Source organism: Homo sapiens, chromosome 2 (assembly GCF_000001405.40).
Source record: "Homo sapiens chromosome 2, GRCh38.p14 Primary Assembly".
NCBI classification, from domain to species: Eukaryota; Metazoa; Chordata; class Mammalia; order Primates; family Hominidae; genus Homo; species Homo sapiens.
The window spans coordinates 25,372,812-25,399,585 of NC_000002.12; the positions used below are offsets into that span (position 1 = coordinate 25,372,812).

At 48.0% G+C, this 26,774-nt stretch overlaps 1 protein-coding gene across 29 annotated transcripts in view, besides 5 other annotated features; it reads right to left on the bottom strand.

Moving 5' to 3' along the window:
- Positions 757 to 901: an enhancer, noted in NCBI's record as "145 bp 2:25596509 sequence used in MPRA reporter constructs". NCBI's record gives its function as "activates a minimal TATA-containing promoter with rs732076 allelic activity by MPRAs in C283T melanocytes {active_cell/tissue: C283T}" and the evidence as "EXISTENCE:reporter gene assay evidence [ECO:0000049][PMID:36423637]".
- Position 829: a transcriptional cis regulatory region, noted in NCBI's record as "rs732076 or 2:25596509 MPRA-significant variant associated with a GWAS melanoma risk locus at 2p23.3". NCBI's record gives its function as "allelic transcriptional activity by MPRAs in C283T melanocytes {active_cell/tissue: C283T}" and the evidence as "EXISTENCE:reporter gene assay evidence [ECO:0000049][PMID:36423637]".
- Positions 3,831 to 4,320: a silencer, noted in NCBI's record as "silent region_11260". NCBI's record gives its function as "represses an Ori minimal core promoter by ATAC-STARR-seq in GM12878 lymphoblastoid cells {active_cell/tissue: GM12878}" and the evidence as "EXISTENCE:reporter gene assay evidence [ECO:0000049][PMID:35858748]".
- Positions 4,411 to 4,460: an enhancer, noted in NCBI's record as "active region_15451". NCBI's record gives its function as "activates an Ori minimal core promoter by ATAC-STARR-seq in GM12878 lymphoblastoid cells {active_cell/tissue: GM12878}" and the evidence as "EXISTENCE:reporter gene assay evidence [ECO:0000049][PMID:35858748]".
- The window catches only part of DTNB (dystrobrevin beta), a 296,335-nt gene continuing 273,992 nt past the window's right edge, over positions 4,432 to 26,774 (bottom strand). For 10 of the 29 annotated variants that reach the window (NM_001351392.2, NM_001394686.1, NM_001320932.2 and 7 more), the window contains 4 exons: positions 15,391 to 15,550; positions 14,478 to 14,567; positions 6,479 to 6,512; positions 4,432 to 4,742 (listed from right to left, as the gene is read on the bottom strand). In NM_001351392.2, coding sequence (NP_001338321.1) covers positions 6,508 to 6,512; positions 14,478 to 14,567; positions 15,391 to 15,550 — 255 coding nt within the window. In that variant the 3' untranslated portion in view covers positions 4,432 to 4,742; positions 6,479 to 6,507. Of the gene's footprint in view, positions 4,743 to 6,478; positions 6,513 to 11,024; positions 11,079 to 12,254; positions 12,400 to 13,215; positions 13,302 to 13,550; positions 14,341 to 14,477; positions 14,568 to 15,390; positions 15,551 to 26,774 lie in introns of those variants that run through there. The other 19 variants (NM_001320935.2, NM_001351381.2, NM_001320933.2 and 16 more) reach the window with 7 other exon arrangements.
- Positions 15,606 to 15,815: an enhancer, noted in NCBI's record as "active region_15452". NCBI's record gives its function as "activates an Ori minimal core promoter by ATAC-STARR-seq in GM12878 lymphoblastoid cells {active_cell/tissue: GM12878}" and the evidence as "EXISTENCE:reporter gene assay evidence [ECO:0000049][PMID:35858748]".

The following is a 26,774-nucleotide window of genomic DNA, read 5'->3' on the forward strand; positions in this document are numbered from 1 at the left end:
CCCTCAGCCCCACTGTCCCCAGCCTGGCTCATCCCCAGGAGCTGGTCCAGAAGGAAGCTCGAACATCTCTGCAGGATCTCCCGCCTGGCTCCCTCACAGCCAACATTTGTGCCAGGCCCTTGGGCCAGAGCGATTCCTGGGCCGCCTGCCTCCTCGCTGCGTGGCCTCCTTCTCAGCAGGCCCAGGGCATATTCCTTTTTCCAAAAGACCAGCCCATCAGGGCAGCCCTAGGAGGGCACACGAGCAAGGCCAAGGAGGGCAGGGTCCTCACCAGGGCAGCTCCCTGCTGTTTCTGGCTGGGAAGCAGAGGACCTGCTGCTTCTTGTCGGCACCCATGGCCAATAGGTTTTGTGGAGGAGGAAGGAGGAGCCACGGGGCCTCGTCTGAAGGAAAGGAAACAGGCCTGGGATTGGGAGGAGCTGTGGGGAGGACTTCCAGACGCTTCAGACGTGGAGCCCAGGCTGAATCTCCTCAGTGAGGGCCATGGGTGCCTGGCACAGGAGGCCTTTCCAGGCAGGGAGGGAAAGAGACAAAGTGACTAAGGTCTTGGGACCACGCCATGGTGGTGGAGACAGTGTGGCTCACGCGCTGAGGCCTGAACAAAAAGCCTGATGGGTACAGGTGCCCTTCAGGCCGGAAGGTGGGGGGCGGGGCGGACAGCTGCCCCAGTCCTGAGTCAGGCACTGAGCCAGAGGCCTTGTTTCCCGGGCTCCAGCACAGGCTGCTCTCCTGGGGAGAACGGCAGCACCTTCGGCCTGTACCGTTTAAGCCAGGGGCCCCGCCAGGGTGTGCCCGCAGCCACGCTTGTGCTCTGAGGACTCTCTGTGCACCTTGCCAAAATGGGGTGAGATTATCTGCCCGTGCCACTACCCCTGGCGTCAGGCCTATGAACTCTGCCTGGCAGTGTGGCCATGGCTGTAGGCCAAGCTTTGGACAGGTGTTTCTGCCACCTGGTTGAGGACTTGCTGGGGCTGACTGAGGCCATCACTGACTGCGTGGTAACGGACTCGTTTTGAGCCAGCAGTGAGCTGGGTCCCAGGGGGCTGTAAGGCCTCTGTATGTTTGCCGTGACTCTTGAACTCAAGGACACACCCCTGGGTTCCTCGGGTCCCACTCCTCCCAGTCTCCCATCCCACCCCTGAGCCCAAGGACCCATCCTTCTCAGCACCTAGAACAGACACTGAGTAGGGAACCACAGCCTTTTCCTCCCCAGGGTGGCCTCACTTTGCACCCACTGTCCTGAGTCTGACGTGTTCATAGGGCAGCCCGTTCCTCCAAGCCCACCCTTCACTATACAGTTTCGAACCCAGACCAGATTCCAACCTTAAGCTCTAAGACCCTGGAGCCAGTGAGGCCTGAAGGCCTGAGGAAGGGGCTTCGTGCCCAGCACACAGTTGGTGCCCGTGAAGCATCTGCCTGAATAAACAACAGTCCCACCTCTAGCCTATAAGTCCCTTCTGAATCTCCACCTTTAGCAATGACAGGCTCCATTTACTTCAGAAATACAAGGATGGCTACCTGGTGTTTTTGTCTTCAACACCTGCCTCCCAACTCCATTCCCAGCAAGTTCTAGTTCTCATGACCTCCCTTAGAGATTTTAAATTTTCAACATGAAAGCAGTCACAACCCATTCAAACTGTCACAGAACTAGTAGACTCATATTGCTTTTTGGAACTGGTGAAAGGATTTGATGCCCATTTCTTTTATGCCATGGTCCTACCCCAGCTGTCCCCCCTTGGAAGTAGGAAGCAGAGGGAAGACGGAGCCAGTGTCCTCCACCTGTTTGCAGACGCGCCTGTGCAGGAGGCAGGAGAGACTCCAAGCCCACTACCTACAGAGTCCTGGCTTCTCAAGTAAGGTTAAGTGCAGAGAAGGCACCAGAGTCCCTGGGATCTGCTACTTTAACTGGGGAGACCTGTAAGTAACATCGAATTACTAGGTTCTCTAGTAATCATTTTCCCTCTGAAAAGAATTCAATGCCCATAGGAGATGGAGCTTCCGGTAGCCTGAAGCAGCCCATCTGGGCCTGGATGTTGTTTCGTGTGGAAGATGGTATTTGCATCCTGGGGAAAGCATCTTGGTGTCCAGGCTCTGGCTGTGGGGGTTAGGTGCCTGCAACACCCCCTCTCCCCTGTCATCCCTCCTGAGCCAGGCAGGCCTTCAGCACTCCCTACCACTGAGACTATAGACTGAGAAGTAACTCCCTGTCGCTGGGCCTCCATGATGTCGGTCTTCTGTACCTTACAGGCCTTGCCTCAGTGCTGCCCACCTTCATGTCTGGGAGAGTCTTCATTGATTGCTGGGGACCAAAACCAACTTAGACTAGGGATCCCAGTTCCAGCACCCATGCCCAGGGCCCTTTCTTCCTTTAAAATAGACGGCTGACTCTGGCCCTTCTTCACTGATGGGCGATGGCTTCCTGCACTGCTTTGTTTTCTTCTTCATCCAAGTGTTGTCCTGTGAATCTCAGAGTGTGGTCTTTGGACCAACGGCACCACCGTCACCTGTGAGCTTGTTGACTGCAAATTCTCTGGTTCTACCCAAGACCTGCTGAATCCGAGACTCTGGAGGCATGGCCATGCTATCTGTATTTTAACAAGCACTCCAGGGGATTCACGGGCATGCTTAAGTCTGAGAACCACTGGTGCAGTATATTACCTAGGAGCCCTGAGTAGGACACTTCATTTAGTTTTCTGATCCACACAAGGAGAACCCGTCCGGGCGCATGAGGCTTGCGGGTACAGAGTGTGTCTTCCCAAGGAAGGCAGGCTACCTACCTCCCACGTGTCCGGCATGTAACCCATCAGCTGACTCCTGACAGTGCAGAGGCCAGAGGCCAGACTGGGAATCCACCGAATGCCTCTTCATGAGCTCTTTTCTCCCAGAAGGTGCAGCAGGAATTCAGATGGCTGTAGGCATTGCCATAGCAACTGCACCCCTCCGAAGCGCTTATGGGCTGCAGGAGCACAGTAAGCAGCCCGAAGAGGAGCACGTCTGCCAGTGGTTGAAGCCTCACCAGCAGATGAGAGGGGCTGCGAAGGGAAGAGGAAGCTCAGGGTGGCTGGGACTTATGGACAAGAACTCGGTGGAGCTGTTGCTTCCTCAAGACCCACGATGCATTTGGTAGCCCTCCCGGGGTCCTCCAGCACTGCAAAACAGCGCCAGCCCAGGCTGTGGTGCTGCACGGCAGCCTGGCTCACCCAGGAGTCAGTGATGCTGCAGTTTCTCAAAAAACCGTCTACCTAGGTTAAATTAGCCTGCTCAGTGGTCACAGAGCAATTAAGATGGAAGTGCCCATCTTCCTTCCGTGATGACCACCTGTGTTCCTCGCCAGGATTGAGGAAAGGGACCCAGTTCCAAAGGTCTGACAGGCATGTGGGTCCTAAAGCAGACGCCAACAGTCATGAGGGAGCTCGGGGCTTAGGTAATGGCGGGTTTTCTAGCTCTACGAGAAATCAACCTCAGCAAGAACGGGTATCACCAGAGTGCACCCGGTACCTGAGTGCTGGCCTCAGAGCTGAAAACACAGAGAGTCAGCAGGGGCTTGGGCAGAGAAGAGGGCCCCACGCCCTTGGAAACAGGGAGCTCTGCTTGCCTGAAGAGCCAGAGAGGGGCCACGGTGAGCGCAACTCCGTGGAAAGCTCGTGGGGACACAGTGCCAACCAATGGGAAGATGAGCTATGGGGGAGAAGAGACAGAGAGGAAAGGACGGAAGGTGTGAACACCCACCCCTTCTATTTTACCCTGACTGGGCCTTGGCAGGCTTGCCTGGGACTCCATCCGTGTGCGGCCAGGAGTTGATCCCACCGTCTCTGCACAGACCTCCTCAAAGCCAAGGGCAGGGGTCTGCAGAGGTGGGTGAGGGATGCTGGGGAGCCAGCTGTGGGGCTTCTCGCTTCATTACAGTCACTGCCCTTTATAAATATTTATAGCAGTTCTTCTGCTAAAAATAACATCCTGGAGCCCAGGGAGGAGGAAAAAATAAATGAAAATCACCGGGAACGGGACTTGATCACGTGTGCCCGAGCCCAATCGACCCCTAAGGCGAGAGGCTGCGAGCAGCGCCCCCGGCGGCGCGCCCCCTGGCGGCCACGGAGTCCGCGGCGCAGAGACCCTCCCGCCCTCTCCGAGGAGGCTCAGCCCGGCTGCGGCGCGCGGCTGGGTCTCCGCCCCTCCCTCCCGGGCTGCAGGCGGCGGCATCACACGGGGCGGGCGGAAGCCTAACCAGTGTGAGACTATTTTTAGCACCGTGGCCAGGGTGTGAATGTCTACAGAGCCGAGCAAGGCCTGACGCTTTCTTTGCACGCTGGAAGAAACCTGTTGGTTTTTAAAGGTCAAAGATAAGGAAACTTGTGCCCCCACGTTCAGGAGCACCCCACGTGCTGGCCAGACGCCAGGAAGTGTTTCATCAGGTCACAAACACACAAGAGCTTGGTGCTTTTTCTTTTCTCTTTTCAACCTCCAGGTGAATTCCTGATGCGGAGATGAGACCATGCCCTGAGGGGAGTGATGAAGGTGCTAGTACATGCAGGGCTGTGCAGGGGGAGGCCCACTAGCTGTGCCACGCAGCCCCTCCCCGCTTCCCACCGGCTCTGGCTCCCCTCTCCCTGGCGGGTGGAGTGACGTCTGGCAGCCTGCAAGCCTGGTCCAGGTGTGCGGTGGAAAGATGGAGAGGAATGTGCCTCTGGGGGAAGACCTTGCCTTCGCCATGTCGGCGCCAGCTTGCTCCTCGTCCTCTGTGCCTGCGCAAGACACACTCACCGTTAGTCACGGGCACTGTTGAGGGTTCAGGACAAAAGCTGCTAACATCTACTGTGAACAGGAGGCCCTGCAGGGAGGGGCTGCTAGGATGCTGGGCGCCTTTCAAGCGTTGGGCTGAAGGGTGGTACCTAGGGTCCTCTGCCATCATTCCTAAGGGTCAGGAAGTGTTTCCGTGGAAGAAAGAATTGGGTTCACAATGCAAGGTTTGAATGGGGTGATTTCTTGGGGAGAATTGTGGCCCAGGAGAAGGGCAGGGAGGACTGAGGTGTGCCGATGAATACTAAGAGGAAAGGGAGGAAGCCTCAGCCCCCGGCCAGCAGAGCGCAGGCCTGGGCATCCATGAATCCGCGGCACCCAAGTTTTATACTCTTAGTTTAACTCTCGGCTGTTGGTGTTTCTCATCACCCCTGATGTGGGTCAGAGAGCGCAGGATTAGGAGGCAGAAGACCCGGCTCCAATTCTGCTTCTGGCATGGAGCTTCTGGTGTGGGGCATTGGTTTCCTCCATGTGCAACAAGGCGGTGGGGGCACATGGCTCTGCCACGTTCCCTTGCACCCCAGTTCCTTCTGCCCCGGGGAGAGAGGGGCTCTGGCAGGCTCCTGCAGGGCGAGTCAGTTCCTGATTTCCCTCCTCGGCTGCCACGGCCTAGGCTTGCTTGGGAAAGGGCCTTGCCTGAATGTGCACAGTGAGTTTAGGGAGAAGCCTCTCTCCAAGCCCCTGGGGCGCTGTGATTTCCAGGGCAGCGAGAGAATGTGCGTGGCCCAGGTGCTGCCCTCTCCTCAGCTCGCACAATCCAGAGTCAGCGCAGGCCGAGGCTGCAGGGGCCCCGGGGGAGCGGGCAGAGGCCTTCAATGGCCTGGCGCGGTTGGGCAGAGAGGGCCAGAGGCTATTCCAGGATGACACGACTTGGGAGGGTCTGAAAAAACCCCTTTTCTGGATTGTGCAGCTAGGGCCCTGACTTCTTTATTCGAGGAAGATGCCTAATTTTTAAATATAAGAGGTGGGGGGGTGGGAGGAGGGGAGGGAAGACAAGATTTTAAAATGGAGAAGTCTGATATCTTGGTGCTGGGACTAGAAAGAATTAAGGTGTTGAGCTGGAAAATGGGAATGACTAATTCCTAAAGGCAATGAGCATCTGCCACTGGAGCAGTCCGTACTTTTCTGCATTGCTTCTTCAGGAAGTGAGAAGGTGCAGCTTGGCCGGGCACCATGGGAAGCGGCTTGGTCAGCCCTGTAGTCAGTGTGATCCTGCATGAATCACATGTCTGTGGGTCAGGGACTGTGATTCGGTGCAGTGCTGGGTGACAGAATCCAGGGACGCACTGGCTGTGGTTTGGATCCCAGGAAGGAAGTGGGCAGTGGCTGTGGGAAAGGAGCATGGGAGGCAGTGCTCCCCAGGGAGGTGGCCTTGCTCAGCACACCCTGTTTCAGCCAGCAGTGTCGGGTCTGCCAATGCCATCCCAACACAGAGGACACCAGGCCATGCCCAAGGACCAGGCCTGCAGACAGTGCTGTGCAAGACAGGACACAGCCTAGAAACAGGGCAAGGAGGGCACATGGCTGGGGTGGGCAAAGGGAAGGGACAGTTGGGCTCTTGCATCTTCACCTGTTAGGACTGCCCTGGCTAGGGACCTGTGACTGCAGGAAGGGAGGGGAAGGGAAGATGCTGAGGAAGGAGGGAGGGGCCGTGGGGAGGCAGAGGACTCTTTGTACTCACCTGAGCTTCCTCTGTGTCCGGCTCCTCTGCTAACCTGTGGCAGCATGGGCAGAAACAACACACTGAGGTCACGGCCAGGTCTTCTCATGCCCCAGACTATCTCAAAGGGGCTTCCCTGACCAACCCACCCCAGGGGCTTCCTTGCTTCTCCCGTTACTCGTTTGTTGACTTTTCCCACCCAGGTATGACAGCAGGGTAGAGTCATACTTTCTACTACTGTAGCCAACCCGAGGCAGCCATGGAGACAGATGCTTCTCAGGAGAAGGAAAGTCATTAAAAAATGGAATCAAAACTCCTTAAATCCAGGGAGCAGTTACATGAGGGGGGCAAAGCCCACTCAGCTCTGAAAGTTCCCCAAGGGAACATGACTGCGCCTTGAGTGAGGGCGGTCCCCCTCCTGCAGATGGTCTGCTTTGAAAAGCCCTGCGCTTGCTCACCCGAGGCTCGAGCACTGCCTGGCCCCTCCTGAGCCTGTTCTGTTCTCTGAGGGCCATTGCTGTCCAGCCTTGCACCAGGGCTCTTTATGGATGCAAACTGGATTTACAGCCCCCACACCGGGATGGCAGGGTATGGGAGGGGAGACTGTGAAGGACACAGGAGCATAACATGAGGCTGTGGAGGGTGGAGATGATGTACTATGGGGGAAGGTGTGTTAGTCTGTGCTTCTTCTATGTGTCTTGGTTACACTTCTCTTGAGGAGATGCAGAGGAGGAAGGGTACCCCGATGGAGCAGAAGCATTCCCCAGGATGCAGCCAGCCAGCCAGGGGTGAACAGGGAGAGGCGTGAGGCAGGGGTGAATATGGCAGGGAAGTTCAGCTTGGTCTAGATTCTTCAAAAGTTCCATTTGACTCTCACAGTTTCCTTATCGAGCAGACTATGTTTGCCTGATGGTGCTGACCAAATTCTGTTTATATTACGTCAGTATGGTTTCAACCCCAAAGAAGCAAATATACTCTCTCTCTTTACGGTTGACAGTTACAGATCTCTGGTGTCCAGGTGACTGCAGTTAGTCCTAGGTCTGTAAAATCTCAGGCCTAGCTCATGGCAGAGAATCAGGAGGTCCACCCATAAAAACACTTAGTCTTATAAAAATGCCCATGTATGAGCTACGTTGTAGTTTCAGGGACATATCCTAGAACCTATATAATGTGGAGAGCCAAACATAAAAAACTCTACCATCTCTCACCCCAACTCTTAACACTCTTGGCCTTAGGGATGACACCAGAAAGTCACATACGTAAAAATTCAGGCATTCCCACAAAAAGATTTCACATAGACATACAGACATTCTGGTATATGCACTGAAAGACAGACAAGGAGCTCTAAGGGCAAGAGGCACAGAAAGACAGAAGAGATGCAGACAGGGCAGTGCAGGTGTAAAGACAGTGCCCTGGGGCCTGGAGTGCCGGGAAAGGGAAACCCAGTCTGATGCGAACAGGGCAGTGCACGTGCAGAGACAGTGCCCTGGGGCCTGGAGGCCCGGGCGAGGGAAACCCAGTCTGATGTGGACAGTGGAGTGCAGGTGCAAAGACAGCACCTTGGGACCTGGAGGCCCGGGCAAGGGAAACCCAGTTTGATGTGGACAGGGGAGTGCAGGTGCAGAGACAGCACCCTGGGGCCTGGAGGGCTGGGCAAGGGAAACCCAGTCTGATTCCCATGTGAGGCATGGCCCACACTCAGACTCGAACCAGGATAAGGGCTAGAGTTCGTGGCCAGGGCAAGGCCTCAGTGGCTGGGGCAGTCCTAGGTTTGCTTTGGTGGAGTGAAAAGGACTGAGGAGAGGCCATGGGAAAAAGCTACTGGGGAAGGGAGGGGCAGGTGAAGGGAGGCCAGAGATGCAGCTGTTATGTCTTCAGCCAGGAACATTCCACATGAATGCTAGGATTTGGTTGGCATGTGCATGTGCATGTGCGTGTGCGTGTGTGTGCGCGTGTTTGCAGCATGTGTTTACACCAGTGTAAATTTATCTGTGTATCTCTTCACCTTTTGCCCTCCTGCCTTCTTTCTTGTCTGTGTGGGTAAGTCAATTGTTTCTACATTTCTATGAAGCATTCCTGGATGTCTGAAACACTACTGCTCTCTAATGTGACCTTTTATTTTTATTTTTTAGATAGGGCTTTGCTCTGTTATCCAGGCTGGAATGCAGTGGCGTGACTATAGCTCACTGCAGCCTTAAACTCCTGGGCTCAAGCAGTCCTCCTGCCTCTGCCTCCAAAGCAGCTGGGACTACAGGTGTGCACTACCACATCCGGCTAATTTATTTTTTGTAGAGATGGGGTCTTGCTATGTTGCCTATGCTGGTCTCAAACTCCTGGCATCAAGTGATCCCCCTGCCTCAGCCTCCTAAAGTGCTGGGATTACAGGTGTAAGCCACCATGCCCAGCCTAGTCTGACCTTTTGGTGTCCGTGCCACATATGTCATTCTCATCAACTCGTTGGCGCTGCTGTCCACTTCCTCCCAGGCCTAGCTCAGACTCACTAGACGATTTCAGAATCTGCAGAATCTTCTTCCTCTTCTCCCAGTTTCTTCCTCAGCAATTTCAGGGTCCTTGCTGACAAATTCCTTGCCCCGTGAGACTCCAAAGACGACCCTGTCTTAGCCACTCCAGCCCCTATGGGCCAAGAATGCTCCAGACCCACTGTCCTGTAGGTTTCCCTTTCTTGTCACAGCTTCCTTACCTGTATCTCCCACTTGGCTTCTACCCTTCCTTAAGTAAGACCACTCCACTTCCCTTAGTCTACCAGTTCAGCTCAGACTAAACCATGGGCATTGGAGTTGAACTCAGGCTGTGCCATTTATCAGCTGGCAGGTTCTTTCACTCCCCCGAGCCTTGTTCAGAATTCCTCCCTGGGAGGGCTGCTGCTGGCTCCTCCTCATGCTTCCTGCTCTCCCTACCTTCACCTCCTTGGGGTGACCAGCCATTGCATTTCTCTCCCCGATAAGGTACTCTCTATCTCATCACCCCATTTATTTCCTTTGATTTGTTCATTTATTGACCTCCTACTAAGCACCAGGCACTGGAACACAACATGAACAAAACAGACTAAAATCTCTGCCTTGAGGAGCTGATGTTTAGGAGGAATCCAGCAACTAACACATTAATGCACAACAGAAAGAACAGCTCACCCTCAAATGTCCAAAGAAAATTTTGTTTTCTGTTCAGTATAACATAGAAGGATGAAGATTAAGAGCACGAAGTTTGGAGTCAGAAAGACCCAGTTCTCTGCCTTTTTTTTTTTTTTTTTTTTTTTTTTTGAGACAGAGTCTCTCTTTGTTGCCCAGGCTGGAGTGCAGTTGCGTGATCTTGGCTCACTGCAACCTCTGCCTCCTGAGTTCAAGGGATTCTCCTGCTTCAGCCTCCCGAGTAGCTGCGATTACAGGCATGCACCACCACACCTGGCTTATTTTTGTATTTTTAGTAGAGACAGGGTTTCACCATGTTGGCCAGGCTGCTCTCGAATTCCTGGCCTCAAGTGATCCGCCCGCCTCGGCCTTCCAAAGTGCTGGGATTACAGGTGTGAGCCACCACGTCTGGCCTAAATCTCTGCCGTTTAACAGCTACATGAACAACATCTCTCTGAGCCTATTTCCTCATGGGTAAAATGGGGATATTCGAATCTGTCTCACAGTGTTAAGGATTAGATGAGATCATCATACGTGAAAATCATTCCCTGCAGCTCTTCCCAGATGTCATGTGTTAAGCAGGTTCGATATATAATGAAACTAGGAAGGCACTACTGTCCTTTGCTGACACCTTCCCTTCTTGGTTTTATTCTTCCATGAAGCCACAAAACCATTTGGCTATTCTAGTCCACAACAATCTCTTCCTTTTCAGAAACCCTTATTATACTTATATGCTGAAAGTTTTATGATTAGCTTTTTCTGCCACTTCATTTGATCTATTTATTTTGCATTTTTGGTCTTTTTTTTTTTTTTTTTTGGAGATGGAGTTTCACTCTTGTTGCCCAGGACGGAGTGCAGTGGTGTGATCTCGGCTCACTGCAATCTCTGCCTCCCAGGTTCAAGTGATTCTCCTGCCTCATTCTCCCCAAGTAGCTGGGACTACAGGCGCCTGCCACCACACCTGGCTAATTTTTTGTATTTTTAGTAGAGATGAGGTTTCACTATGTTGGCCAGCCTGCTGGTCTTGAACTCCTGACCTTGTGATCCACCCGCCTCAGCCTCCCAAAGTGCTGGGATTACAGGCGTGAGCCACCGCACCTGGCCTGGTCTTGCTTTATTAACTAGATCATAAACTTCTCCAGTCAAAGGGTCATCTTTTGTGTTCTACTTGTATCTACTTCCTGTATCCCAACTACCTATCCCAGGATCAGGAAATGAGGAAGCTCTTGGTGATCGACTGACCTTGTCACCTGGAAGGTAAAACCTGACTGTCAGATGGGAAAAGTAGGTACAGGGACCTCGGGTCCGAAAGCTCTGGGAAAGGTGGTGGCAGGGAGGAATGCAGAAACAAAGTGGGGGGCGGCTGATCCATGAGCTCGGGCTCCCCATTTAAACGAGCAGTCCTGCTGAGCTGCCTTTACCTCTGTCTTTCCCATTCTGCATCTTCTCTTCTTCTTCCTCTGCACCTTCCTCTGCTGTGAAAACAAGTCCAAGGAGGCCAGTGACCCTTCGGCACAGGACAAGTACAGAAGGAGGGTGAACAAAGCAACTGCTGAGGCTTGGGAGGAAACTCTAGCTAACAGCTCCTGGCTGCAGGCCTCTGAGGGTGCTTCAGCTCACCAGTCTGCACTTGTGCGGCCCACGCCCCAGCACTGCTGAATAGGAGCCCGTAAGACCACAGCCCAAAGGGAGCAGTGCGGTCACATCGCTCACTTTCCTGACCAGGGCTGGGGGCGTGCAGTGTGGGGTTGCGTGCCTCTGTTCTATGCCTGTCTGCCCTCAGGTGGTGATGACCAGGGAGACATCTAATGTCTTGCATTCAGGTTTAAGAAAGTGACCATACAATATATGGTGGGGGAATACCTAGATTAACACGGGGTTCTGTTAAAAAAAAAAAATTCCGTATGTTTTAGCTGATGATAAACTTAAAATGACCGCACAGTGCAAAGTGGCTATGTGGGAAGTGCTAATGCCGTCTAAGGTGCTTTTCCAGGGGACACTCAAGAGGGTCACAGATGCCTTGTGCTCTGCAGGGACAAGATCCCCTGTGATGGAGAGCAGGGTGCTGGGCCCTGGGCATGTACTTTGAATAGGAGCCTTGGAAAATGGCCACATCCTGGTATGGTCAAGCAGGCTGGTAAGAGAAAACCATGTCACGTTTGGAAAGGTTGAAGGAATTGGGTGTAGCAGTCTACAGAGGAGAAAACTAGGAAGGGTTGTCATTTGCCATCCAACCCGTGAAAGGCGAGCCTGCAGAGGAGGGACTGAGCTTATCCTGGGTAGCTTGAGAGGACAGGGATAAATCAGTTACAGAAAGTGAGATTTTGGCTCCCCACTGAGGAAGAAGTTTCCAGTGATTAGAGTTGATCATGAATGAGCTCGCTGGAAATATTCAGAGGACTGTTTTATTGGGTGGCGAGTTGGATTAAATGACTTCTAACATCCTTTACAATTTTTTTCTTTTCTTTTCTTTTTTTTTTTTTGAGATGGAGTTTTGCTCATTGCCCAGGCTGGACTACAGCGGCGCGATCTTGGCTCACTGCAATCTCTGCATCCCAGGTTCAAGCGATTCTCCTGCCTCAGCCTCCCGAGTAGCTGGGATTACAGACATGCACCACCATGCCAGGCTAATTTTGTATTTTTAGTAGAGACGGGGTTTCATCATGTTGGTCAGGCTGGTCTTAAACTCCTGACCTTAGGTGATCCACCTGCCTCAGCCTCCCAAAGTGCTGGGATTACAGGTGTGAGCCACTGTGCCTGTGGCCTCGATCCTTTCCAATTCTAGGATTCGATTATCTGTGAAAAAACTTTATAAAGATGAGGACTACAAGCTATGTATATACAGTATGTATACACTGTATAGAATATATGTAAAGATAATCTGAGTATGTCCTCTCATTGGAACAAAAACCTGTCAAGTCACTGTCAAGGAGACAGTAAAAACATGTTGGTGATGGGTGAAGCTATTCCATTCACTGAGAAATTGGCACCCTCACATGTAAAGGGAGTTTATGTCTGCATGTTAGAGGGATACCGTGCCATGTGTGGCTTTGGTCCACGTCTACCTACAGGCTTCAGTGACTGAGAGGACAGCATCAGGGAAAGGGGCCTCTGGGACTCTGGGTTTGCTATCTTGTCCTGGAGGGGAGTAAGATCTCTGGCTTGATGCTCTGAAGACCCAGGTTCTAGGACCAGCTTTCCCCCTTCAAGCTGCACGACCTTAGGCAGACCACTTTTCTGATAAGCACAGGCTACATCTCTAAAGTAAGGGACTGGACAATGTGCTCTCTAAGGCACCTTCCAAATTACACTACATAATTTTGTTGAAACCATCCTTTCTTACTATGAGACACTGCTGAGGATTCCTATAAGCTTTACATTTTTGTGAAGCTATTTGGTCTCTATGTGCTTTCCACTTAATGGTATTTAATGACCTCTCACCCTAGCACGATGAACGCAGAAGCCACTTATTTTGCATAAACTCTAATAAGTGGCCATGAAGTACAAGTGTAGTTAATTCCCATGGCCCGAAATTCCCTGAGAAATTTCCTCTAAAAGTGGGATTTCTGACATCTGTGGGGAGCTGCATTAGGGAAAGCGCCTTCTAATCACCTGTGAGGTCATCCTGAAGGCTGTCGCCTCTTCTGTTTATGTGTACAGAGCGGGGCCGTGCTTCTGATGGGGGTTGAGAAACAGTGCTAGAATGGAGAGGGTGGCACCATCAAACAAGAGAGGCAGCGTCTGACCTTAACTGACTGGAAAGACGAAGCTGGGCTATACACTCACTTTGGTCTGTATGAAAACAGGCAGACTTGAGAGCAGAGCTGGGGGCTCTGTCCAGTCCCATGACAACCCTAAACATGTGAGCTTTCTCCTACGAAGGGCTGAAAAATACCCAAGGCTTGCCTTCCCTAAGAGTGTTTGAATAAGTGTATGTGTTTGAATCGTCCGTGGAAAAACTGCTTTATCTTTTTATTTAATAATCCTGTTAAGCTACTTCAAGGTATTTAAAAGCACTACATTAGGTGGAAAGAAACAAAAGAGAGCCATCAGTGTGAGTGACCTACAGCGCTTAGGGAGGGAAACCATTAGTTTAACACAAAACATGGAGACCCCACCGCTGTGAAATCGTTAGTGACTCTCTGGCCCCTACGTAACTGGTAGAGTCATGGGGATTCCTGGAGATAGGAGGATACGTGAATGGCCTTTTATTTTCTCTCTCTTTCCTGGGTTTTATGTAAGGTGAAATGCCACGAGGTAAAGGTCTTTGGGAAGTCACTGAATTGGTGAGGTGATGGAGAGACTGAGAAAGAAGTCACAGATGAGCTGAACACAAGGAGCAGAAGAGGCGACAGACTCAGGTCATGAACTTCAGGTGAAATCAGAGCCTGGTCACGGACAAAAGGAGGGAATAGGTTTCAAAAACAAATCAAACAGGAGAGAGCAGAAAGGCAGCAGGGGAAGGTCCAGAGCTTTCCTGGCTGATTCCGCTCCAGACCTCCAGGGAAGTTTCAGAATGAGGTGGTCGGTCAGGCCTAGGGAGAGAGCGGCTGTGGACAAAGTACAGATGGAAGACGAGGTAAGTGAGGAAGGGGCCTGCCTGCACTGAAAGGTCTGAATTTCTCTACATTCAGCTTGCTCCACAAGATGCACTCCTGAGATAGGCCTGAATGTGAAACCGCCCCTACGCGATCCTGTGTGACAGAGGCTCTCTGGGTGGAGACATCCAGTGTGTTCCTAGAAGGCAAAGTTAGGTGATGAAATGGGGTGGTGCAAGCTGGGTGGTGAGGTTCTGCCGGTGCTGGCAAGGAAGTGAGAAGGGCGCGGGCAAGGCAGGGGAGGCCAGGAAGCTGGCTGGGAGCTCTGGGTTTCACCTGAATGGAGCTCCTTCACCAGGGATGACATGGTGTTGGTGATGGAGTCAGCTGCCACCAGCAGGTCATTGCGGAGGTTTCTCCTCGTACCTGAGGAGAGGCAGAGCAGATGGGGATGCCAGGGTGGGTGAGCGTGGAGAAGAGACGGCTGAGCAAATGCCTCAGTTCTGCCAGGCCCGAGAACACAGGTGTGGAACACCTAAGGGGAGATGGGGCCACAGCAGCTCCACCCATTCCCAGGCACACCGGGGGCAGGAGGCACCAGCCCACTGGTCCCTCTCCCTCTGCCCTCTCTACCTAGGGAGCAGCATCCTGTCAACTCCACGCTTTGCCGCCACCACACAATCCAGAGCTGGGTTCCAGAATAAGCATTCCACCGAGGTCTTCCTCAGCCTTGTGGGGGTGGGGCTGTACTCTCCACAACCACCACTACCACCTCCCCTTCTCACCTCCAGCCCCAGCAGGACTTCCCTCTGAATCCCCACCCAACTACTTAATACTGCTGGTCACCAGCTCCCCCGATGACTGTGACAATGGCGTGCATACTGTGCTTTCAGCACGGTCCCAGTTACAGTGCCTGTTACAGTCCCTTCTAGGCCAGGGAATTATTCCATCCAATTCCTCTGGAGGAGACAAAGCCCAAAGGACAAAGCACTTCCAATAATCCAGAAAAAAGGGCAGAGAACCCCAGGAGGCCTGTTCTTGGCACACATAGGAAGCCTGCAGCCCTCCCGCTGGAGACCAGCCCGTCTCATGAGAAGGGGCCAGCACCTGACTTATTTACACTGTCTGTCAAAATCTGATCATTCCAAGCAAAGAGCACAAAACAGAAATGGAAAAAACCTCAGCAGGAATCTTGTCCGTGTTTGCACATCCCTTCAGCTCCCCGCTGAACTCTGCTCCAGAAACTCACCTTGTGCGAAGGCCTCCTGCACGTCTCCCCCGACTCCGCTCAGCGAGTCCTGCGGACAGTGGGTGGGGGTGGAGCCGGCAGACGTGGAGCGCACTGGCATGGGCATTGGCCGGCCGCCTCCATGGGTGGGCGATGTATGTGGTGACCCTGTGGCCTGAGCCTGGAGATTCAAAGACAGAAAATACGTTATCTCAAGTACCTGACCTCTTTGAGGAAGGAAGAAAGTACTTTTTCTCCATCAACCAGAGCCAGCCAGTGGGCCTCAGTTCAGTGGTACAAGATCATACTTGAAAGGAAGGAGTTAGGCTGCTTCCAAGACTGGAGAGAGGAAGAAAAGGAAAAAAGGAAGGGGGCGTGCAGGGCAGAGAGAGAGAACATCCTAAGAACAAGACCAAGAATGGGAGGGAAAGAAGAGGCTGGCACAGAGTGGTGGAGACAGAGTGAGCTGCGTGACTGGGCCAGGGCTCTAGAAGGGCTTGGCTTGCAGGGCAGGAAGTAACATGCAAACAGCTTTCATTTTGTTTGCAAACACATTCATGTACATGTTCTCATTTGGACCCCTCCCCCCGCTGCTGCCGGCAACCTGTGAGTGGAAAGGACATACGTGTGTGTGTGTGTGTGTGTGTGTGTATGTATATATTTATATACGTATATATCTTTTTTGGAGACAGAGTCTTGCTTTGTTGCCCAGGTGGAGTGCAGTGGCACGATCTCAGCTCACTGTAACCTCCGCCTCCCAGGTTCAAGAGATTCTCCTGCTTCAGCCTCCCGAGTAGCTGGGACTACAGGTGTGCGCCACCACGCTGGGCTAATTTTTTGTATTTTTAGTAGATACGGGGTTTCAACACGTTGTCCAGGTTGGTCTTTAACTCCTGAGCTCATGCAATCTGCTCGCCTTCGCCTCCCAAAGTGCTAGGATTACAGGTGTGAGCCACCATACCAAGCCAGGGTATATATTTTTATGTCCATTTTATAGAAGAAGAAGAATGGAAAGAGACGTTGTGTCAGGCCACACAGCTTGCCAGTGGGAGGCATGGGAACAACCCCTTGACTCCAAGGGTGGCAGTGTGCACTCTGCAGGTTGTGACCCCACTTCCTGCAGGGCATGCTCTGAGCATGTGCGGAGCTCGGCTGCAGGCTGCAAGCGGGGCCATGGGGCCAGTCATGCCACATGCACTGCACATGTACAGCAAGGCTGTCCGGGGCCACCCCGCGGGGACGAGGTGAGAAAGGACACATGGTAAACAGAAACCAAGCTTTCCTTGGGAGGCCCTGGTATAGTTGTGGAGAAAGTTTGGAGCAATGGGATAAAATAAATAAAAGGAGAAAACTAATCAAGGGCCGCTCACTGAGATGTGGGCTCTGTAGCTCTTCAGCACAACGGGAACTGAGTGTGGAAGGTGGACTAGGGTTTTCTGTGGAAGCAAAACTGGAAAAAATAGAAGCCAAAGTGTGAGAGTGAATTCAAATGAAGACAGTTATCCTTCTTCTAGCTTTCTCAGCTAGAAACCCCATATACAAACAGAATTGGCCCTGAACAGGTGGACAGGCTGGACGCACGACACCCCACCGCAGTGCTTCAACCGTGTGGCCACCAAACTCAACAGAAATGGATTGTTTTCTGTGGTTCTTACTTTGAATCATTTGTGTGTGTGTGTGTGTGTGTGTGTGTGTGTGTGTGTATGTGTATTTTGAGAAGTTAAAAAAAATACAGAAAACTAAAAAGTACAACATAATTAACCACCCCAAATTGGTAACTTCATATTGTGTCAAATGTATTTCAACCTAAAAATATTGCAGAAAAATTTGCAATATTTTTGTCCACCAGTTCTTTCCTGTTCCAGTTCTTTCCTCTCCTCCCTTCAGAGGCAACCCCTATCAAAATTCTGCTGTGAAACTTTTAACCTATATGTGCATGTATAGCTATGAATAATAGATGGTATTTCACGCTTTTAAATTTTGCATGAATGGTATTGTACTGCTCATATCACTTTGCAATTTGCTTTAATCACTTAGCATGCTTTCTGAGATCTTTCCATGATACAAATAAATATGAACTAAATCAAAATGGATCATAGTAACTATAAGAGCTAAAACTAAAATGGATCATAGTAACTATAAGGGCTAAAACTATAAAATTTCTCTAAGAAAACACCCAAACCATGATATGTAAAAACAAAACCAAACAGATAAACTGGCTTTCATTGAAATTTTAAACTTTTTCTTTTCTTTTTCTTTTCGTCTTCTCTTTTTTTTTTTTGAGATGGAGTTTCACTCTTTCACCCAGGCTGGAGTGAAGTGGTGCGATTTTGGCTCAGTGCAACCTCCGTCCCCTGGGTTCAACCAATTCTCCTGCCTCAGCCTCCAAAGTAGATGGGATTACAGGTGCGTGTGTGCCACCATGCCTGGCTTTTCTTATATTTTTAGTAGAGATGGGGTTTCGCCATCTTGGCCAGGCTGGCTTCAAACTCCTGACCTCAGGTGATCCACCCGCCTCGGCCTCCCAAAGTGCTAGGATTACAGGTGTGAGCCACTGAGCCCGACCAAACTTCTGCTTTTCAAAAGATATCATTAAAAAACATATGAACAAATCAATTCAGAATTAGTCAATAACTTAAACATAGGAGCTGAAATTATAACATTCTTAGAGAAAACATAGGGGGAAGGCTTTATAATCTTGGATTAGGTAATGACTTTTTTTTTTTTTTTTTTTGAGACGGAGTCTTGCTCTGTTGCCCAGGCTGGAGTGCAGTGGTGCAATCTCGGCTCACCACAAGCTCCGCCTCCCGGGTTCACACCATTCTCCTGCCTCAGCCTCTTGACTAGCTGGGACTACAGGTGCCCGTCACCACTCCCGGCTAATTTTTTGTATTTTTCGTAGAGACAGGGTTTCACCATGTTAGCCAGGATGGTCTCGATCTCCTGACCTCGTGATCCACCTGCCTCGGCCTCCCAAAGTGCTGGGATTACAGGTGTGAGCCACCGCGCCTGGCCTAGGCAATGACTTTTTAGATATGACATCAAAAGCCCAAGCTATGAAAGAAAAACTAGATACATTGAATATTATCAAAAGTAAAACTTTTGTGCTTTGAAGAATACCATCAAGAAAGTGAAAGTCAACCCCCAGAAAGGGAGAAAATGTTTGCAAACTATATATGATACATGATCTATATATAAAATATATAAAGAACTCTTACAACTCAATAATAAAAGGACAAATAATATTTTAAAATGGGCAAAGGATCTGAATAGACATTCCTCCAAAGATATATAAATATCCAGTAAGTACATGGAAAGATGCTCAGCATTATTAGGGAAATGCAAATCAAAACTACAATGAGACATCACCGCACACCCACAAGGATGACTATAATAAAAAAGACAGGTAATAACAAGTGTTGGCAAGGATGTGGAGAAATTAGAACCCTAATATACTGCTGATAGAAATGTAAAATGGCCATAGGATAGGCCACAAAACAAGTCTCAGTAAATTTAAGAAAACCAAAATCATATCAAGCACTCTATCAGACGACATTAGAATAAAATTGGAAAGCAACTCCAAAAGGAACCCTCAAAACCATGCAAATACATGGAAATTAAATAATCTGCTCCTGAATGATGGTTGGATCAACAATGAAATCAAGATGGAAATTTAAAAATTCTTTGAACTGAATAATAGTGACAGAATCTATCAAAACCTTTGGGATACGGAAAAAGTGATGCTAAGAGGAAAGTTCATAGCATTAAATGCCTACATCAAAAAGTCTGAAAGAGCACAGACAATCTAAGGTCACACCTCACAGAACTGGAGAAACAAGAACAATCCAAGCCCAAACCCAGCAGAAGAGAAATAACGAAGATCAGAGCAGAACTAAATGAAACTGAAACACATACACACAAAACAATACAAAAGATAAATGAAACAGGCCAGGCACGGTGGCTCACGCCTGTAATCCCAGCACTTTGGGAGGCCAAGGTGGGTGGATCACTTGAGGTCAGGAGTTCGAGACCAGCCTGGGCAACATGGTGAAACCCCATCTCCACTGAAAAAAACAAAAATTAACAGGGTGTGGTGGCACGCACCTGTAATCCCAGCTACTCGGGAGGCTGAGGCAGGAGAATCTCTTGAACCCGGGAGGTGGAGGCTGCAGTGAGCTGAGATCACACCACTGTACACCAGCCTGGGCAACAGAGTGAGACTCCATCTCAAAAATGAATGAATGAATGAATGAATGAGTGAGTGAATGAAACCAAAAGCTGGTTCTTTCAAAAGATAAATAAAATTGATAGACCATTAGCAAGATTAACCAAGAAAAGAAGAGAGAAGATCCAAATAAGCTCAAATAGAAACGAAACGAGAGCTACTACTACTGATACCACAGAAATACAAAAGATTTAAAGTTACCATGAACACCTTTACATGCATAAACTAGAAAACCTAGAGGAAATGGATAAATTCCTGGAAATATACAATCCTCCTAGATTAAACCAGGAAGATACAGAATATCTGAATAGACCAATAACAAGCAGTGAGATTGAAATGGTAATAAAAAAAATTGCCAACAAAAAACAGTCCAGGACCAGATGGATTCACAGCTGAACTCCATCAGACATTCAAAGAAGAATTGGTACCAATCCTACTGACACTATTGCAAAAGATAGAAAAAGAGGGAATCCTGCGTAAATCATTCTACGAAGCCAGTATAACCCTAATACCAAAACCAGGGAAGGACATAACAAAACAAGAAAGCTACAGACCAATATCCCTGATGCACAAATCCTCAAAAAAATACTAGTGAACCAAATCCAACAGCATATCAAAAAGATAATCCACCATGATCAAGTGGGTTTCATACCAGGGACACAGGGATGGTTTAACATACGTAAGTCAATAAATGTGATATACCACATAAACAGAATTAAAAACAAAAATCACATGATCCAATAAATGCAGAAAAAGCATTAGACAAAATCCAGCATCGCTTTATGACTAAAACCCTCAGCAAAACTGGCATAGAAGGGACATACCTTAATGTAATAAAAGCCATCTATGACAAACCCAGAGCCAATATTATACTGAACAGGGAAAAGTTGAGAGCATTCCCCCTGAGAACTGGAACAAGACAAGGATGCTCACTTTCACCACTTCTATTCAACATAGTACTGGAAGTCCTAGCCAGAGCAATCAGACAAGAGAAAGAAAGAAAGGGCATCCAAATCGGTAAAGAGGAAGTCAAACTGTCACTGTTTGCTGATTATATGATTGTATACCTAGAAAATTCTAAAGACTCATCCAAAAAGCTCCTAGAACTGGTAAATGAATTCAGCAAAGTTTCAGGATACAAAATTATTGTACACAAATCAGTAGCTCTGCTATATATCAACAGCGACCAAGCTGAGAATCAAATCAAGAACTCAACCCCTTTCAGAATACCTGCAAAAAATAAAATAAAATAAAATAAAATACTTAGGAATATACCTAACTAAGGATATGAAAGACCTCTATAAGGAAAACTATAAAACACTGCTGAAAGAAATCATAGATGACATGAACAAATGGAAACACATCCCATGCTCATGGATGGGTAGAGTCAATATTGTGAAAATAATCATACTGCCAAAAGCAATCTACAAATTCAATGCAATTCCCATCAAAATACCACCATCATTCCTCACAGGACTAGAAAAAACAACCCTTAAATTCATATGGAACCAAAAAAGAGCCCACATAGCCACAGCAAGACTAAGCAAAAAGAATAAATCTGGAGGCATCACATTACTCAACTTCAAACTATGCTATAAGGCCTCAGTCATCAAAACAGCATGGTACTGGTATAAAAATAGGCACATACACCAATGGAACACAATAGGGAACCCAGAAATAAAGCCAAATACTTACACCCAACTGATCTTTGACAAAGCAAACAAAAACAAAAAATGGGGAAAGGACACCCTACTTAACAAATGATGCTGAGATAACTGGCAAGACACATAGAAGAATGAAACTGGATCCTCATCTCTCACCTTATACAAAAATCAACTCAGGTTGGATCAAAGACTTAAATCTAAGACCTGAAACCATAAAGATTCTAGAAGATAACATTGGAAAAACCCTTCTAGACATTGGCTTAGGCAAAGACTCCATGACCGAGAACCCAAAAGCAAATGCAACAAACAAAGATAAATAGATGGGACTTAATTAAACTAAATAGCTTCTGCACAGCAAAAGAAATAATCAGCAAAGTTAACAAACAACCCACAGAGTGGAAGAAAATCTTCACAAACTATACATCTGACACAGGACTAATATTCAGAATCTACAAAGAAAACAAATCAGCAAGAAAAAAATAATCCCATAAAAAAGTGGGCTAAGGACATGAATAGAAAATTCTCAAAAGATGGTATACAAATGGCCAACAAGTATATGGAAAAATGCTCAAATTACTAATTATCAGGGAAATGCAAATCAAAATTACAATGCAATACCACCTTACTCTTACAAGAATGGCAATAAAAAGCTCAAAAAATAATAGATGTCGGTGTGAATGCAGTGAAAAAGGAACACTTTTACACTGTTGGTGGGAATGTAAACTAGTACAACTACTATGAAAAACAGTGTGGTGATTCCTTAAAGAACTAAAAGTAGATCTACTGTTTGATCCAGCAATCCCATTACTAGGTATCTACCTACAGGGAAGTAAGTCATTATACAAAAAAGATACTTGCATACGCATGTTTATAGCAGCACAATTTGCAATTGCAAAAATATGGAACCAGCCCAAATGCCCATCAATCAATGAGTGGGTAAAACAAATGGGATAGATACACCATGGAATACTACTCAGCTATAAAAAAGAATGAAATAATGGCATTCACAGCCACCTGGATGGAATTGGAGACTATTTTTCTAAGTGAAGTAACTCAGGAATGGAAAACCAAACATTGTACATTCTCACTCATATGTGGGAGCTTAGCTATGAGGACACAAAGGCCTAAGAATGATATATTGGACTTTGGGGACTCGGGGAAAGGGTGGGGTGTGGAAAAGGATAAAAGACTACACATGGGGTACAGTGTACACTGCTTGGATGATGGGTACACCAAAATCTCAGAAATCACCACTAACAAACTTATTCATGTAATCAAATACTACCTGTTCCCCAAAAACCTATTGAAATAAAAAAATTAAAAAATTTAAAAGTTTATGTATCACATAATATGTATACATAAATATATAAATCACAGTATACATATTTGTAAATACATAAATACACATAAATATACCAATTACATAATATACATGTATATTTATGTACATAAATATATAAATCACAATATATACATAAATATAAATATAAATATATATTTATGTATATTTAAATATTTACATACATCTCTCTAACCACATCAGCATCAGTTTCTAGCAATAGCAAATATTCAAAATCTATGTGACAAAATCATGATTAAACAAATTAATACATGAATAAATCATTGCAACTGATTTGTAGGTATTTCTCATGTAATTGATAAAGGTACTTCCAGTGAGCAAGGAAGCTAGATAAAAATTTATGTTGTGAAGAAAGCACTAGAGATGGAATTTGCATTCTTATTTCAACATTTTCTTTGAGTAAATAAATTAATCCTACTGAATCTTAGTTTTCTCTTACATAATATGGAATATTATAAAAGGATTAATAGACAAGTTAAAAAATGTAGCCCAGAATTACATATAAGGAGCTGTAATTAAATATTCCCTCCCTCCCTCCTGAAGACTGGTGCTAGGACAATTCACAATTGCAAAAATATGGAACCAGCCCAAATGCCCATCAATCAACGAGTGGATAAAGAAAATGTGGTAAATGCATACCATGGAATACTATTCAGTCATAAAAAGGAACAAAACAATGGCATTCACAGCAACCTGGATGGAACTGGAGACCATTATTCTAAGTGAAGTGACTCAGGAATGGAAAACCAAACATCGTTGTTCTTATCCATAAGTGGGAGCTAAGCTATGAGAATGCAAAGGTGTAAGAATGATACACTGGTCTGCAATCCCAGCACTTTGGGAGGCCAAGATGGGCGGATCACTTGAGGACAGGAGTTCGAGACCAGCCTGGCCAACATGGTGAAACTCCATCTCTACTAAAAATACAAAAATTAGCCAGATGTGGTGGTTCATGTCTGTAATACCAGCTACTTGGGAGGCTGAGGCAGGAGAATCCCTTGAACCCAGGAGGCGGAGGGTGCAGTGAACTGAGATTGTGTCACTGCACTCCAGCCTAGGCAACAGAGCAAGACACTGTCTCAGGAGGAAAAAAAAAAAGAATGATACACTGGACTTTTGGGACTTGAGGGAAAGGGTGGGAGGGGGGTGAGGGATAAAAGACTACACATTGGGTACAGTGTACACTGCTTGGGTGACGGGGGCACCAAAACCTCAGAAATCACTAAAGAACTTATCCATGTAACCAAATCTGCCCCTCCCGCCATGTTCCCCCAAAACCTATTGAAATTAATAAAAGGAACTAAAAAAAAAAAAAAAAAAAAAAAGACTGGTGCTAGGGATAGCTCTTGTGACCATTCTGCAGTATCATTAATGTTCTTTTTTCCTAACATTAAAACCTCAGTCTGGGCACTGTTTTGTCTCCCCAGCTACTTTTCCTATTACCACCTTCCAATCCTTCACTGTCATGTATTTGCAGACTGTGATTCTAGGAAAATCTCAACAATTTCTGAATTGAATATAAGATAAAAGGGATAAATTTGTCCTGAGATTTTAGATAACTGAATTTCTTTAAGCCATCTACGGAATAAAGACCAAATACCACCCCCACACCCCCACCTCCCCCACCCAAAAAAAAGTAAAATAGTGCAGCTGCTTTGGACAGACTGGCAGCAATTCCATTCCTAGGTATATATCCATGAGACATGAAAACATGTCCACACAAAAATCTGAACCCAAATGTTCATAGCAGCGTTATTCGACATAGCCAAAAAGTAAAAACAATTCAAATGTCCATCAATTCAGGAGGCCAAGGGAGAAGAATTGCTTGAATCTGGGAGGCAGAGGCTGCAGTGAGCTGAGATAGCGCCACTGCACTCCAGCCTGGATGACAGAAAGAGACTCTGTCTCAAAAAAAAAAAAAAAAAAGAAAGAAAACAGTATGCTACGTGCAAGAAGCCAGTCACAGAAGCCAGTCACAGAAGACCACATATCGTATGATCCCATTTATATAAAATGTCCAGAATAGGCAAATCTCAGGGCACAGGAAGCAGGATAAGAATCTCTGAGGGCTGGTTTCGAGTTTGCCTGGAAATGCCTAGATTAAGTGACCAGTTCAGACAGCGTAGGAACTCAAGATGGAAATTAAATCCACTTAAAGAACAAAAATGGGCCGGGCCCGGTGGCTCATGCCTGTAATCCCAGCACTTTGGGAGGCCGAGGTAGGTGCATCACCTAAGGTGAGGAGTTTGAGACCAGCCTGGCCAACATGGCGAAACCCTGTCTCTACTAAACATACAAAAATTAGCTGGGCATGGTGGCGCATGCCTATAATCCCAGCTACTCAGAAGGCTGACGCAGGAGAATCGCTTGAACCCAGGAGGTGGAGCTTGCAGTGAGCCAAAATCCTGCCACTGCCCTCCAGCCTGGGTGACAGAGCAAGACTGTCTCAAAAAAAAAAAAAAAAAAAAAAAAGAATGACCTCTGAAATGCTAACACACTTCACTGTAAGACAGATGGCCCAGCCAGCATTAAACATATGGCGAGGACTCAGGAATCTCCCTCTGCATGATCTGGGCCAGGCACCATGGCCTGAGGACCGCACATCAGAGTCATAGGACCCAGGTGAACATCCAGGCTGCTTCATAACAGCATGACACTGAACCTTTGCAAATACTTTGATATTGAAATGATGATGGGGGATGAGACAAGAGGGGTAGGCAGGGTGGCCAGCCACATGTGTCTAAAGCTCTAGTATCTGGAAGTGAAACCTCCTGCCCACCATCAGCCTGGAAATAATCAGACCCTCTTCCTGGGATCATTACCTAGGGCATGCCTTCTGAGGAAGATAAAAACCAGATTCTAGAAGTTGTGTTTGTTCAGAGCAGTTGAAAGAGAAAAGCTACGACTCCTGGGCAGGTGTTATTTCTCCATGGGTCTTATGCCCCAGCCCTTGGCGTTAGGATCACACTGGATGAAAATGAAGCCAGGACAGAGCTGTCAGGGCCCTCCGTGAATTCTGGTTTGTGTAGGGTAATACCAGTTTGCAATCCTGGGTGGGTCAGAGGCACAAGTGATAGCTCACCAATATGCATGGGCTTTCGCCAGGCCTGAGGCTAAGGGTTCAGGAAGCCTGGAGACCGGAGCCGATCTTGGATGAGATATACATCACGCAAGGGATGTCAACCAACTCTGTTCCTTGGTGGTTTTGACAAAAAAGCAAAAGTGTGGGCCCATCCACACTTGACTCTGTTGATGGGACTCTGCTCTCTCTTGCCACTCCCTCTGCTGGGAGCACTACTCTCCCCCATGCTGTCTGATTGGCTCCTGCTGGTCCCCTGGGCATCAGTCTCACTACTATCTCCTCTAGGATGAGACAATGTCTTTCTGAGATACTCCCACGGAATCTTGTGTGTCTCCATCACAGCACTATCTCACTTCTTAAATTCCATCCTCTGAATCCCTGTGCTCAGCACAGGTAAATTCTTAATAAATACTTGTTAAATGACAATGAAGTGCATCACATTTTTGGCCCTTTTTCTTCTGTAATGAAAAGTGGAAAAGAGCAGGAAAAGTGCTGGAGCAGGTAGTAATCTCCAGGAAGTAATACATCTATCAGTCGTCAGTGAATCTTTTCTTTTTTGAGACGGAATCTCTCTGTCACCAGGCTGGAGTGCAGTGGCGCGATCTCGGCTCACTGCAACCTCTGCCTCCTGGGTTCAAATGATTCTCCTGCCTCAGCCTCCTGAGTAGCTGGGACTACAGGCGTGCACCACCATGCCCAGCTAATTTTTGTATTTTTAGTAGAGATGGGGTTTCACCATGTTGGCCAGGATAGTCTCAATCTCTTGGCCTCATGATCCACCTGCCTCGCTTGGCTTCCCAAAGTGCTGGGATTACAGGCGTGAGCCATCGCCCCTGACCTTTTTTTTTTTTTTAGACAGGATCTTGCTGTTTCCCAGGCTAGAGCACAGTGGTGTGATCTTGGCTCACTGCAACCTCCACCTCCTGGGTTCAAGTGATTCTCGTGCCTCAGCTTCCTGAGTAGCTGGGATTACAGACATGCACCACCACATCTGGCTAATTTTTGTATTTTTAGTAGAGATGGAGTTTTGCCATGTTGGCCAGGCTGGTCTTGAACTCCTGTTCTCATGTGATC